The sequence below is a fragment of the Homo sapiens genome, chromosome 7, assembly GCF_000001405.40.
Source record: "Homo sapiens chromosome 7, GRCh38.p14 Primary Assembly".
NCBI lineage: Eukaryota > Metazoa > Chordata > Mammalia > Primates > Hominidae > Homo > Homo sapiens.
This window is the reverse complement of record NC_000007.14, coordinates 93,880,843-93,896,315: the sequence shown is the minus strand read 5'-3', so window position 1 is coordinate 93,896,315 and position 15,473 is coordinate 93,880,843. Positions and strand designations below refer to the sequence as shown.

The 15,473-nt window shown below is 37.9% G+C and overlaps 1 protein-coding gene and 1 long non-coding RNA gene across 4 annotated transcripts; one reads left to right on the top strand and one right to left on the bottom strand.

Annotated features, from left to right (window-relative positions):
* On the bottom strand, positions 2,728-5,422 carry TFPI2-DT (TFPI2 divergent transcript). Its single transcript, NR_134235.1, has 2 exons — positions 5,237-5,422; positions 2,728-3,074 (listed from the first exon to the last, which is right to left on the bottom strand). It is a non-coding gene; the product is annotated as a TFPI2 divergent transcript (long non-coding RNA).
* Positions 5,563-10,920, top strand: TFPI2 (tissue factor pathway inhibitor 2). Of its 3 annotated transcripts, none has more exons than NM_001271003.2 (5): positions 5,563-5,725; positions 6,030-6,179; positions 7,093-7,281; positions 8,885-9,055; positions 9,420-10,920. In NM_001271003.2, the coding sequence occupies exons 1-5, from the start codon at positions 5,638-5,640 to the stop codon at positions 9,494-9,496; spliced, it is 675 nt and encodes a 224-aa protein (NP_001257932.1). In that variant the 5' UTR covers positions 5,563-5,637; the 3' UTR covers positions 9,497-10,920. The 3 variants fall into 3 exon arrangements, with proteins under 3 accessions (NP_001257932.1, NP_001257933.1, NP_006519.1); NM_001271004.2 differs by having other exon boundaries at positions 5,997-6,179; positions 8,961-9,055; NM_006528.4 differs by having other exon boundaries at positions 5,997-6,179.

Genomic DNA, 15,473 nt, shown 5'->3' with positions numbered 1-15,473 from the left:
ACTGAGTTGGGAGGTCTCGGATAAAAATCATCTAAAATTTGCCATAATCTTCTGGATGCCATACACAGTTAAAGATGTAGCAATCTGAGTGAGAGAAAAGATGGTCTGCATCGCAAGTAGACATAATGACACTTGAGGGAATGTACATCCAGGAAGTAGAGAAAAGTGGTTTCTGAGATTCTGCTCCTCTAGCAGAAGGCAATACTTTGTTACAACCACAGCACCTAAAATAGCCAACCAAAACAAATAGATGAAGGAATGAGTCTCTGTATTGCATAGGCCTAGAAGATATAGTGTCAGGTATGTTTGCATAGAGTGGATTTTATTTGGAATTGAGCTTTGCCTACCTTTTATTTACTTCCTCCTCTATAATCCTATACAACCTAGTACATATTTTTGATGTTGTACTAAGAACATTGTAATGTAACTGGGTTATACAGTGTTCATTCATCTACCCTATTATGTTATGAGGTCCCTCATATTTGTATCCCAAATGTCTAGCATAAAGTTTGTCACACTTCAAACATTTAATCAGCTCCCTTTAAAGTAGATTAATGAAGGAATGAACACAGTAAGAGATACGTTATATACCCTCATTATCTCTTTCTTTCTAGGGGGAAGGGGATTCATAAAATTAGGCACAGAGGATACCCCATCCTTTCATGTGGCTTCATCTTATTATATAGCACTCTCAAATGCACTCTGTGCCTGACAGAGGGTGCATTAGAATAAATGTTTCTTACATGGCCCAGCTGGTTAGAAAAATACCTAGTTGGTGAAGGAGTTGCTTAAACTTTAGCAAAACCCTCATGACCATTTACTGCTCAGAAGAGATTAACTATCTTTCTTAGCAGATGTGTAAACTCATTAGTGCCAGCTGGACTCATTTCAAGTTTTATTTTGGCAGGGCTTAAACTAAGAGGCAGCAAAAACTGTCTTTGTTTATTAAGGAGTTATCAGTGTAACTCCTTAAATACCTATGTTACATAATATGTATCCCCAAATCACTGGGCTCAATTAATTCTCATCATTCACTCATAAGCCAGACATGCTACCTCTCTCTAAGGTGTCTGAGAGAGAGGAAGACCATCTGCCACAGTCCATTTCTTAAATTCTTGGTTCACCTACCGAGACGGCAGGGCTCTCAGAGGATACAGTATCATACTCAAGGCATGGGAGGGGCTAAACAGGTCAAAATCAACTTCATTTGTTGTGGGGTCCAGGGGTGTGGTGGTGAGAAAGATCAGAGGCAGCAATCTGACACATGCAGAGGCGCTCCTGGACTCACTGCAGCTTTTGCATTTTTAAATTCTGGTATTTCATATTCTGCTTTAAGGTCTTGGTATGGTAGAAAGAACTTAGGTCTAGGTGTGATAGAAAGAATATAGGACTAAGAATCCAGAACTGTGGATTCTAGTCTCAGGTCTGCCAACAACCATGGCAGGTAAACATGACCAGATGCTTAACCTTTCTAGATCTCAGTTCACACTTGTGTAAAGTGAACATACTTATAGTTCCATTCAGCATTCAAATTACAACTCCATGCCTTATTTTTACAGAACTCCAGACTATTTTGAGCCTTTGTCTTTAGCCACAGACAATTTAACTGTCAATTGGTGTAGCAATGACAAATCAATCTGGATGACTGTTTTTCCCAGTTATCTCTAGCCTTGCACTTCCTGTTGACTTTGGACAAAGGAATTACTTTCCTCAGCCTTGAGGCAGCATTTTGGGCTAGACACTGGATTAAGGAGATAGAAGTGCTATGACATCCCTTTGGAGGCTGATTGTGGTGGTCATGTTGCTCCTTCCAAAATATTCTAAATGTAAATTCAGTAACGTCAAAGTAGTCTCCAGGAAATTCAGATTACCCTTATATTGGAAGATGTCTTTTTCATGGATATAAAAATACTCAATTATTTATGCAATTAAGAGGAATACTTTTTTTGTAATAACCTGGGTTAGTAATCTCAAACTTCTGCCAATTCCACTTCTTTAATTCTCCTTTCTCCATCTGTGGTCATAGAGGTTTTAAGGATGCACCCTGTTTGGCATAGAAAAGTAGAAGGAAACCAGCATTTCTAGAGCATCTCTCGGGACTGATTCCAACCTGCATCTACAGACCACACCACAGAAGGGTGAGAGGCCTGTTTTTGCCCCCCTCCCATTTCCACTACATGCCTTATACAGCAGCCCTGAGTGGGCTGAGGATTCTGCTCTGAAATCCCCTTGAAGCTCATTTCCCTAGAAGAGACTACCAGAAAGTGTGACAACTTCATGGGCAGAGAGGTGGTCTCTGAGCTTAGTTAAGAGAAGAGCTGACAGGAGCAAGGACATGGGCTTTAATTCTATAAGGCCATTTCATGTTGCTCTGTTTCCTGATGGGAGTTTGATGCTCCATCTCAAAATTGTGTGCCAAGGCTCTCAATGGGAAGTAGGATATGGGATGATCTGGATGAAGTTTGTGCCATTGTGTGAGGGGCTAAAACAATATCTTTGAATGCATAGGCATTTTCCATTTAATCCTCATAACACATCTGCGAGGTAGAGTTATTATGTCTATTAGAAAAGGAAACTGAGGCTCAGAGAGTTTTAAGTAACTTGTCCAATGTAGCAAGGAATAAAATCCAGGTATCCTCTGAATTCCAACTCTATTTTTCCATGGCACGATGCAATTTCCCAAAATGTCTGTCTTGATACAAAAGGGCTAATCTTTTTTTTTTTTTCTTTTTAGTCAGATTCAGAGTCTCACTCTGTCATCCAGGCTGGAGTGCTGTGGCACGACCATAGTTCACTGCAAATTCAAACTCCTGGGCTTAACCAATCCTTCCATCTCAACCTCCCATATAGCTGGGACTACAGGTGTACACAACCATGCCCAGCTAAGTTAAAATTTTTTTTTTTGTAAAGATGGAATCACACTATGTTGCCCAGGTTTGTCTCTGACTCCTGGCCTCAAGCGATCCTCCTGTCTCAGCCTCCCAAAGTGTTGGGATTACTAGCAGAAGCCATTGTGTCCAGTGGTTCATTTTTTTTTTTGTATGAGCGAAAGACAATCAAAAAGTGTCCAGCACCTGAGAACAAAGAGAAATGGCAGTAGTCAGTGCTCCATGAAAACTGAGTATCAGTCCTTGAATTTTATTTTAGTCTAAAGATATATTTAATTTTATTCAGAAGATAGATATAGGTAAGTTTGAAGTTGAGTCAACTTTTCTCCTGAATATGATTCTCGGTAAATGAGTGGTAAAATTCCCTCCCCTAATAATATTTTGAAGGAACTGGGAGGGTCTAATCTGACTTTACTCTGAATGTGTCATTCCAAAACTGGCTGTCTGTCTCAGTGGTTGGTGCATTAGAGCCAGCTCACACAGATTTTGGCCATGGGGAGCTCTGGCTCTTGGAGATCTTTTCCCACCTCGGCATTCAGTGATTCTGCAGTGGCAGCTTGAAATTGACCTTAGTGAGCACATTTACATCACAGAAATCAGTTAACTATACAAAGCATCCCCATCCCATTTATTTTTCCCTACTGGAGAGGTGATAATTAAACATTTATCCTTATAGTTTCAACTATCATTCTTAATCATAGACATCTGCTAATCAAAGCTGACAGCATTTCCAGATCAGGCTGGTTTTCCTAGGACTGTGACCTTGTAACATGACATCAGAATGACTGAAAACTGGCACAAGGATATAATGTGCAAAATACCTCAGATTATTAACCCACTTTGAGCAAGTGTGTCCTATACTTTTCAGGGCTTCCTGAAAACTTGAAAGAGAACTTCTGTAAACTACCCCCAGTATCCTCAGAAGTCAAGAATAATTATTTACTTGAGAATGTTGAATACAACAAGAGAAAAGGGGAAGGGAAGACAAGTATATTAAAATGTCTTCAAAAATATCTTTAATATTTTATGTAAAATTTCACTGTAGGTAATTGTTTGTATTAAAAAAAAAAGTGGATCACAAGCTAATATGTCAAAGGAACAGGGAACTTTAATGGATGCACTGACATTAGGAAATGTGTGGGAATACACTGATCTGGTCAAATCTTCAGAACTCCCCAAGGCTATCTCTCTGGGCTGCTATGGTTCTTCTCCAAAAACATAGATACATACAAAAACATAGCTTCATACATGCTTGGTTGGGGTGTAAAATGGTACAATCATCTTGAAAAAATCCTTTGGCAGTGTCTAACATTTCTAAGTATTTTATCCAAGAGTAATAAAAATTGCAGGTCCACACAAAGCAGCTTTTTTCATAAGAGCCCCCAAACAAACTAGAAACAACACAAATTCCAGTAATAAGACATTTGTGATATATTAGAATATTACTCAATGATTTAAAGGAACAGACTATTGATACACACAGCAACATATTTATACATTGTGGGATATTCATACGTTTTGGTAAATTCATACCTTGGACTACGCAGGAATTAAAAGAAACAGACTATTGATGCAGTGACCTGGGCGTATCTCAAAAACAGGAAGTGTGAGAAAGAAATACTACACAGTGAATACTTTATAATTCCGTTTATATGAAATTCAAGAATAGGCAAATCTAATCTATGGTAATCGAAATGAGAAGAGTGTTTGCCCCTGGCCTAAGGATGGAAGGATTGATTTAGGAAAAAGTCTGCAGGAGCTTTCTGGAGTGATGGAAATGTTCTAACTCTTTTTTTTTTCTTCTTCTTCTTCTTTTTCTTCGTTTCGAGACGGAGTTCCACTCTGCCGCCCAGACTGGAGTGCAGTGGCGCCATCTGGGCTCACTGCAGCCTCCGCCTCCTGGGTTCAAGCCATTCTCCTGCCTCAGCCTCCCGAGGGGCTGGGACTACAGGTGCCCGCCACCACGCCCGGCTAATTTTTTGTGTTTTTAATAGAGACGGGGTTTCGCCATGTTGGCCAGGCTAGTCTCGAACTCCTGATTTCAGGTGATCCACCCGCCTTGGCCTCCCAAAGTGCTGGGATTACAGGCGCGAGCTACCGCGCCCAGCCAAAATGTTCTAATTCTTTATTGGTGGCTACACAGTTGTCAAAATTTATCAAACTGTCCACCTACGATATATTATAAGCCTGTATTAAATGTAAATTAGAACTCGATTGAAATCTGTGTGTATAAATATAAATATACACTTATTTACATTTCTAATCTAATCTGAAGGTCCATTGCAACGAATCCCGCTCCGCTCTGACCCAAGAACTCCGCACTTTCTCTCCACCAGCCTTTCAAATACCTGAACTTCATGCCTTCAAGAGGTGGATTCCGGCTTCTTTACAGCGCAATCACTAGCAGGTCATTTCCGTCTAGCTTGCAGATTTCCCATTACTGACACAAACGCTCCCTCAGGGCGTCCCCGTCTGGACTACAGGAGAAAGTTTGGGAGGCAGGTTCAACTTTTCAACTTGGCGGGGAATTCCTCTCCCTCTTACACAGTTTGCAGCGCGGGGGCGGCGGGGTGACAGTCCCCGTGCATGAATCAGCCACCCCTCAGGCTCCGCCCCGGCGGGGGTCGGCCGGACGCTCGCCCCGCATAAAGCGGGCACCCGGGCCGCCTGGAGCAGAAAGCCGCGCACCTCCTCCCGCCAGGCGCTTTCTCGGACGCCTTGCCCAGCGGGCCGCCCGACCCCCTGCACCATGGACCCCGCTCGCCCCCTGGGGCTGTCGATTCTGCTGCTTTTCCTGACGGAGGCTGCACTGGGCGATGCTGCTCAGGAGCCAACAGGTATCTGGCCGCTCCAGGAGCTTCTCTCCCCAACCGGCGGAGAGGGCGCAGCGGGCCATGGGGCCCCGTGTAGGCGCCCTCCAAGCCTCGCTTTCTCCAGGTCCCTGCCGCGCGCTCCGCTGGCAGGGGGGACTCGCTCCCAAGTTTGCACTTTCTCTGCAGAGGCCCCTCCGCTCGGAAGGGGACAGAACTCCCCGGGATGTTCTTTCCTCCTAGGAGCTACGCCTGACCACTTTCCCTCTCTTTTGCTCTCCTTCTGCCCCTTCTTCAGGAAATAACGCGGAGATCTGTCTCCTGCCCCTAGACTACGGACCCTGCCGGGCCCTACTTCTCCGTTACTACTACGACAGGTACACGCAGAGCTGCCGCCAGTTCCTGTACGGGGGCTGCGAGGGCAACGCCAACAATTTCTACACCTGGGAGGCTTGCGACGATGCTTGCTGGAGGATAGAAAGTAAGTGCCCTGCGCGCACCCAGGACTCTCGCGCTCCTTGCGCCGGCGGCTGGTAGCAGCTTCGCCAGTTTCCCACGTCTCGCTTTCTACAGGAAGTTTTAGCCTGGGTTTTCTCAAGTGTTAAGCAAACCTCATGGTTTTCAGTTTCTTAAAAGTAATCACAAATTTACAACCACTAACACATTTCCTGTCTCCCAACTGACATTGATCATAATTCAGTGCCTGTGCGGACTCAGGGAAAGATTTGTTCCCTCACCATGGGGTATAATAAATGCAAGAGAATAACGTGTTAGGTACAACGTAAGTGCTTCTCTGTATTTTTCATTAATTCCAAACCTATGATTTTTATCTCTCCTGGAGTACATCATTTCCTTCTGTCGATTATCCATCAATCTGAAATATTTTTAGTGGATTTTATTATTGAAGTGTGACTTAGCTCATTATATAACTCTACTTTTGTCCCGATACCCAAACATGTGTTGGATTAGTTGCGGGACATGGTGGAGATTCATAATACTGTTATATTTTAATTTATTTTTAATTTTTAAATTATATCGGTTAAGGCCTGTAAGAGAACATGGGGCTTTTCCATTCAAGGAACTGAGCCAGGGGAAAATGCGTATTCATGTGAATAAGCTTTGATTCACTGCATATGTACAATCAGAGAACACCCAGAGAAAACAGAGAGTCTTTCTACTGAACTTGAAAGATACATCACAGCTGAGTCAGCTCTGAATACACTGTTAGAAAAAAAAAAAGTAAATATCTGGATTCATGGGAGTATTCTGGGTATTTACTATCCCAACACTAATACAACTTCTCTCCCCCCACAAAATGTTGCTGAAAATACAGTGATGGTTTAATAAGAAGGCTACTTTTGACTAACATTGTTCTATTACCCTCCTTTTCCTAGAAGTTCCCAAAGTTTGCCGGCTGCAAGTGAGTGTGGACGACCAGTGTGAGGGGTCCACAGAAAAGTATTTCTTTAATCTAAGTTCCATGACATGTGAAAAATTCTTTTCCGGTGGGTGTCACCGGAACCGGATTGAGAACAGGTTTCCAGATGAAGCTACTTGTATGGGCTTCTGCGCACCAAAGAAAAGTAAATACGATTTTTATGGTATTTCTATTTCACTTTTTTGAAAAGACATTTGGGTGGAAAAAACTCAATTTGATGCGAAATTAACATGTGCATTTTCATGATTTCACATTACTTGACAAGTTAGTGACTTGTCAAGTTCTTAGGACTGGAAAGTGACAAAGCCATGATTCAAATTTTTGCTTTCTGCCTCTTCTGATTTGTTGTTTTTGAGACGGACTCTCGCCCTGTTGCCCAGGCTGGAGTGCAGTGGCACAATCTCGGCTCTCTGCAACCTCTGCCTCCCGGGTTCAAGCGATTCTCCTGCCTCAGCCTCCTGAGTAGCTGGGACTACAGGCGCCCGCCACCATGCCCAGCTAATTTTTTTTTTTTTCTTCTTTCTCTTTCTCTTTCTTTCTCTCCTTCCTTCCTTTCTCTCCTTTCTTTTTCTCTTTCTTTCTTTCTTTCTCTTTCCTTCCTTCCTTCCTTCCTTCCTTCCTTCCTTCCTTCCTTCTTTCCTTCCTTCCTTCCTTCTTTCTTTCTTTTCTTTCTTTCTTTCTTTTTTCTTTCGACGGGGTGTCACCGTGTAAGCCAGGATGGTCTTGATCTCCTGACCTCATGATCTGCCCACCTCGGCCTCCCAAAATGCTGGGATTACAGGTGTAAGCCACCACGCCCAGCCCTGAATTGTTTCTTTAGAACTATTTCTCAGCTACTCAATTTATGCATAAAAGATTAAAGTATTCATTAATGAATGTTATGACCTCAGATTTGTACACAATAAGTTATACATGTGAGATAGTGGAATATATACAGAATTAAGATGGTGAAACTTGAAAATTTCTTTCTAAAGTTTTCGGTTAGATTTCTGTATTCTTCAGTAATTGCAAATTGCAGCACAAACATCTCCACACGTTTCTGTCCTATCCATTTGTTACCTCTCCCACCACCACCCCTGAATCCTTGAAATGATAGTCTCTTGAGTAGTATTTAATGTTTGCAGAGGGAGACAATACAGGCATTTCCCCCAGACACAGAGATTTTTGAAAAGTTCAACAAACAAGGAAAACTTGCTTTGGCAGAGAATTTGATAAAGCTTTATAGCTGTACTGTGTTGAATATGCAAAATCTTGAGTTAATGTGGTGATGGTTACTGTGGATGTTCTCTTGTTTGTGTACATATAAATGTTTGCTCCAGTGGTTACCTGGAAATTAGTATGCATATATTATTGATTAATAATGGAATGAGAGCTGTTAAAAACATTAAAGCAAAACTACCAACACGACAAAATTTACCAAATCATGCCACATATTGTCCTTGAAACTTACCCCATTTTTACCTAACCATATCTGGTATTTGGGTTTAACTTCTTTTTACATTTAAAGGATACAAAGATGTAGCTTCAGAAGAAATTCTATCCAGTTTACAAAAATTTAGAATTACCAAAATATAGCATGTAAGCTTACCTGCAATTTGAAGCACATCTTTTTAAAGGTTTAGTATGATATTTTGGATTCAGACTGAGGCTTCTATGGGATTAGATTTTCTTCAGTTACTTCAGTAATCACCATAATTTAAAAATTCTGGTATTATAACATTTCTAATTTTCTTCTCTTTTTTATAAAGTTCCATCATTTTGCTACAGTCCAAAAGATGAGGGACTGTGCTCTGCCAATGTGACTCGCTATTATTTTAATCCAAGATACAGAACCTGTGATGCTTTCACCTATACTGGCTGTGGAGGGAATGACAATAACTTTGTTAGCAGGGAGGATTGCAAACGTGCATGTGCAAAAGGTAGTGAATGTTTTCTTATTCCACCTTTAGATAAACTTTATAAATAACTTATCAGAAAAATTATATTTTTATTTATCCATTTTACTAATAGCAAATTGCTGTTTCTAGACTACTTCTACATAAGTATCTCCGTAGTGTTAATCAGTTTTGTCAAAATGCTTTTACTGGCTAGCTGCAGTAGACGGTAGCTGTATCTTCATATCTTAAAGGTAAAATATTATTAACTGAGTGTATAATGAGTTTTGACTTCACAGTCCTTAAAAATAAGATGAAGTGAGCTCAATAACCTTATCAGAAATAGTGATTTATAGTGAGCCTACAGACTGGAGATGTATGATTTTCATTGTCGTTTTATTGATTTTAGCTTTGAAAAAGAAAAAGAAGATGCCAAAGCTTCGCTTTGCCAGTAGAATCCGGAAAATTCGGAAGAAGCAATTTTAAACATTCTTAATATGTCATCTTGTTTGTCTTTATGGCTTATTTGCCTTTATGGTTGTATCTGAAGAATAATATGACAGCATGAGGAAACAAATCATTGGTGATTTATTCACCAGTTTTTATTAATACAAGTCACTTTTTAAAAAATTTGGATTTTTTTATATATAACTAGCTGCTATTCAAATGTGAGTCTACCATTTTTAATTTATGGTTCAACTGTTTGTGAGACTGAATTCTTGCAATGCATAAGATATAAAAGCAAATATGACTCACTCATTTCTTGGGGTCGTATTCCTGATTTCAGAAGAGGATCATAACTGAAACAACATAAGACAATATAATCATGTGCTTTTAACATATTTGAGAATAAAAAGGACTAGCAAATAAAACTCATTTTGCATTTAAAAGTTGGATTATATTTTAGTCCCAAGAAGACAAAGTCGCAGATTAACAACACTTTAAAAATATTACTCCCATTTTATTGTGTTAGATTGCAGTACAATGAATGAATAAGGGGATTTATTTAAAAGATCTTAACTTTCTTGACTGATTTAAAAAGCTAATCAATTTATTAAAGCCAGAAATGTTCTCCTCTGGGAAAGCAATTTCTATCTATTTATCTACCAATCCCCACTCACATGTATATGTTTGTGTTTACATAGAGATAGATGGTTTTAAGGGTTTTCCTATTGTTAAATTATTTCCTAAGACATTGTGGGTTGGAGACCACTAAACTTATAAAAAACCAAGGAAAGTAAAGTTTTTCAAATGTTTATACTGTTTAAGGTGTTTATTTATATAAACCATGCATGAGAAACCATGCATAAATTTAATAATTTAAATTTCACCAGTAAATTATCATTGATTAAATATGGTCATACCAATGAAATAGGTTTTTTCTTTCTCTGTAATAAAACAATTTTTCTAAATTCTTATGTTTTCATAGCAAGATTAACATATTTAATTACAAATTAAATATGCAAAATGACAAATGCGTTTACCTTTTGCTTGAACAATCTTTCATTTAAAAATTTATCCCAGTTATTTTGACAAATAGGTATATGCCTGAGAACTTTGAATGATGCTGAAAGCTAGAAGCAAACCAGGTACTCTTCAGTCAGGGACTGGTTGAAGATTTTATGGATGAGGAGTTAGCAAAATATCTATATATGCATATCTTCTGACTCCCAGGATACATAAGAAACACAGGGCCTAGAACAGTATGAATAAACACACATATACACAAACATCACAGAAGATACTAAAGATATTAAAAATGTTTACCTATAGAGGTTTGGAGAGAACAGAGGGGTGGACAGTTGTGGAGATAATATTTGTGTAAATATAACTGTGATATAGTTTTTATCTTGGACCATGTAAATATTTGACATAATTAATAATCAAAATTAAATAAAAAAGAAAAAGCATTTCTTTAAGCATTCAAACCCAACTGAATACCAAATAGTGGCAAAACTACACAAAAGATATATACTTATTTTCAATGACTTCACAAATTAATATGAGAATGTCTTTTGGGGAATATAAAGGTGAAAAAATTCTGAAGAAATCTCAAAATGCATTTTTAAATTTGTTATTACTTTTTATTTGAATAGTTTTGGAGTTACAAGTGGTTTTTTATTACATGGATGAATTATATTGCAGTGAATTCTGAGATTTTAGTGCACTGTGAAAATGCATTTAGTAGTCTCATTGTTAATGGTAATACTGGTGTTATTTTGAACCTATTGTATCTAGAATACTATGTTGTAAGAAAACAAGTAGTTACATTTCTTTAGAAGTCAGGATTTTCAGTGTTAAGAGAAAATGAGATACAAGTATACAATGAAAGAAATTAAGTAAAAATCTTTGACTTAAATTGGAATTAGAAATATTCATATAAATTAATAACTGATTTTCTCTATCAAAAAATCTGTATTTCCCACTTTTCCATTGAAAAGTCCTTGAAGTAATGACAACTCAGTAGCAGTAGTTACAATGAACATCAAGACTGTGGTCTCTCCATACTATTACTCACTGGTTCCTAAGAACCAGTGCTCTTAGGAGAATAGCTGAATCCAGGTCTGGGGCAGGAAATATGTAAAATAAACTTGGGCCATCTTACTCCAGAAATCAAGGAAGCTATCAAAGACTAATGAATCATGTCACAAAAACGGGAGCAATATTAAGGAGCTCCCACTAACCTAAAATGAGACAATATGGCCATCAAAACAAATAATGACCACAATGTATATAAATATATAGAAATCTGAGTTTATGATTATATACACACACTCACCTCCTTGGTACCTTTTGGAGGTTTCTAGGGCATTATCTCATTCATTTGAAAACGATGAATTAACAGAAAGAATAAAGCATTTATCCTTTTTTTGTTTATTTTTTAAAAACTGTACCACAGGGAAAATAGTATATGGATGTCATTCATAGAATTCCACCTAATACATGCATTAAAATGTTAGAAAATACTCCTAACAAAAGTATGAATATAGGCATCCCTCACCATTGGGTGCTGAAACAATTGTATGAAAAGTTTTTGGGGACAGTCTCATGGGAAATCAGGCTAATGTCTCTGAACTCACAGATCATTTTGACATCCATAATAGTTTAGTCATAGACATTATTTGCTTCCTGATATGATACAATAATAAGTGCACCCTCCCCATCAAGTATTTTTGGAGAAATAAAACACAGTAAACCCAAAGATAGTCAAGACTGTAGATATCACTATCATATTGCCAGATTATAGAGAAATACTGGGGATATGGGAACAAGTTAAAAGAAACCAAGGAAAGTAAATCCATAATGTTGGGCACTCTACAGGACAAATACCTTGGTTTCTCCATACAAGTCAATAAAAATTTTTAAAAATGGCAGAGAGGAGGCAGTGCTTTAAGAAAAAATAATAGATAGCAATGACAAAAAGCAGCATGCCATTAAACGGTTGGTTAAGGCCTGAATTTATGACTGTTTTTGGTGGGAATAATTATAGGAGAAGGATCTTGTGTGTGTTATGGAGGTGAAGAGTGAGTGATTCAGAGCCTTTGAGGATTCTGGGGGCTCCTAGTAACCCCAAAGGGAAGCTGGATTTGGTATTTGCTCCCTTCGTCTCCCATGTAGCCAAAGCTCTTAGGGGATCATGGATCCAACTCAGCCTACATTTGCACCTCTTTGATCAGCATGGGTAGGAAGTAGATATTTTGGATAAAATTATTCTAATGCCCTATTACCTCTGCCATGTTAGTTTAATTAAGAAATATATAAAGTGGTCACAAGACATTCTGCAGTCAAGGGAAAATTCCTCCTTACCACAATCAATGTGAAGGCAAATCACAGCTGTGGTTAAAAGGAATGTCTCATTCTGTGACACAAAAAGTCAAAATAGAAATGGGATGGCTTTTAATAAGACAGTATTTTTAAAATTACCCTGGACTATCACTCATGTGTCCCCTGTGCACACACATTGTCACAATATTTAACCATAGAAACTGCAATGGAGGCCTCCAAATTGCCTGGATCACAGCACCCCCAAGTGTGCATGCTGTCTCCCCCAACAGTCGTGTTAGACTTTTAGCCAACAATCTTATCCAATCAGAGAATATCCTATGGAATGTCTGTCCATATATTGTAATAATGTCTGTAGACATTTTAGCTCTGTTGCATCTAGAGATAAATCTCTAGGGTGTCCCCAAGGAGTTGACCTAAAATAATCAATGTGAGAAGGATGTCTCTTGATCCTTCATCAGCCTTCTTATGACCTGATGGACTTACTGCAGTGGCAGGAACTTATCTTTATAAGCTTCATGTTTCCAGTAAAATTTAGGTCCTGTGATTAAAAATAAGGAAAAGTAGAAAAGTACAGAGTTGTAGCTTTAAAATATCTTTTGCCCCTATATATTGTTATAAACTTACATATGGAAGCAGGCAAACATGGGTATCAGAATCATCCAAAATTATTTCTTCTCCCTTCATCCACATAATCAATTATTCACCAAGTGTACCTAAGTAAGCCTTTCCTAATCCTCTTCTTATACCAGAAAAATTAAAACACTCCAGAGTTTTTCTTCCAATCTATGTCTGCCTCATATACAGTCATCCACACTGATGCCAGGGTAATCCTGGAAAAAAAAATATGATCAGGTTACCCCTTTGCTTAAAACTCTTCAGTGGTTTCCTGTGGAATCTTCACATACTGTCCAAGCCCCTTGTGTGTCATTTAAGAATTCTTATGCATGTACCATAACATTCTTTTCTTTTCCAGATTCATCTCTTATTATCTGTAACCTGTAATACAGTTGCACTAAATTATCTGCAGTTTCCAAAGCATGTCATACTGCTTTACTTTTCTACAATGTGGTTCTGAAATTTTGTGCATGAGAACCATCTGTAGAACCAGGTACACAGCAGGCTTTTATGCCCTGTGCCCAGGGGTTTTTACGTAGTGGGTTTGAGTTGGCACTCAAAGATGCACATTTTAAACAACAACTCCAGATGATTAGGATGTACATCCTAATCATCATCGCACTTTAAGGAATTTACATCGCACTTTACATCGATGTTACATCGCACTTTAAGGAACACTTTTTTTAAGCCTTACCATAAGTTTCTTTCTTTGAAAAAAATATCATTCCCTCCTTGCAACTATTTGGCAAGTTGAATCTTCTCCTTGTTGATGAGGTATTCCTTGCCCAACCTGAAGCAGGTTTAATCATTTATCCTATGGGCTTGCCTAAACCTGGAGCAACTTCCTAGTTGTACTATTGCAGTATTTAATTATTTTCCTTGAAGTTTTATTCTTAGGAGATCTAAGTTTTTTCATGTAAAATTAATGTTATTTTTTTCATTTCAAAATATATTATTAAGCTAATTGTATACTGTATAGAAAATAAAATACATAAGGTTAAAAATAAAAGCAATGCAGAATTTTACCACCAAGTGATTAATAACTCCATTTCTGATCTCTTAAGGTGGAAATAACTTAGTAAAGAGATATACACGTTTTAATGTCCTTAGTTTATACTGAGAAAGTGCATTACAAATTATATCAATCTATCCCCAACTAAAAATATATGAAAATGGCCAATACATTAGGTATAAACAGAAAAATATTAATAAATCACTTCATTTTAATAAAATGGTATTTTATTTTATCATTGTTTTATTTGGTATTTCCAAGATTATTACAAACGTTGAACTTTTTTAATTGTGTAAATTTAAGGTGTACAAAATGGTATTTTGATATACATATTTATAGGGAAATTACTACTACAGGTAAGCAATTTTAACATGTCCATCATGTTCTATAGTTGCTAGTTGCTCTTTTCTATCTTTACTTTTTGGCAAGAGCACCTAAAATCTACTCTTGAGCAAATTGTCAACATGTAGTATTAATAACTGTAGTCTTCCTGCTGACATTAGATCTCCAGACTTATTTATCTTAACATAACTGCAAGTTGGTACCTTTTAATCAACATTGTCTCATTTTTCTCCCCTTCCCTATCCCTGGTAACCACTACTCTACTGTTTCTATATATTCAACTGTTTTTTTTTCATTCCACACATAAGTGAGATTGTGCAGTATTTTTCTATCTGTATCTGGCTTATTTCACTTAGTATAGTACCCTCCAGATTCATACTTGTTGTTGCAAATGGCAGTATATCCTTTTATAAGACTGAATAATATTTTATTGTATATATACATGTGTATGTATATATGTGTAAGTGTATGCCTGTATGTGTATACATATCTCACAACTTCTTTATCTACTTATTCATGGATGGGCACTTAGATTGTTTTCCTATCTTGGCTATTGTGAATAATGCAGTGAACATGGGAGTGCAGATATCTTTCTGAAGTACTGACTTCATGTGTTTTGTGTATATCCCCAGAAGAGAGATTGCTTGGTCATATGGTGGTTCTATTTTCATTTTTTTGAGGAACATCCATATTATTTTCTACTATGTC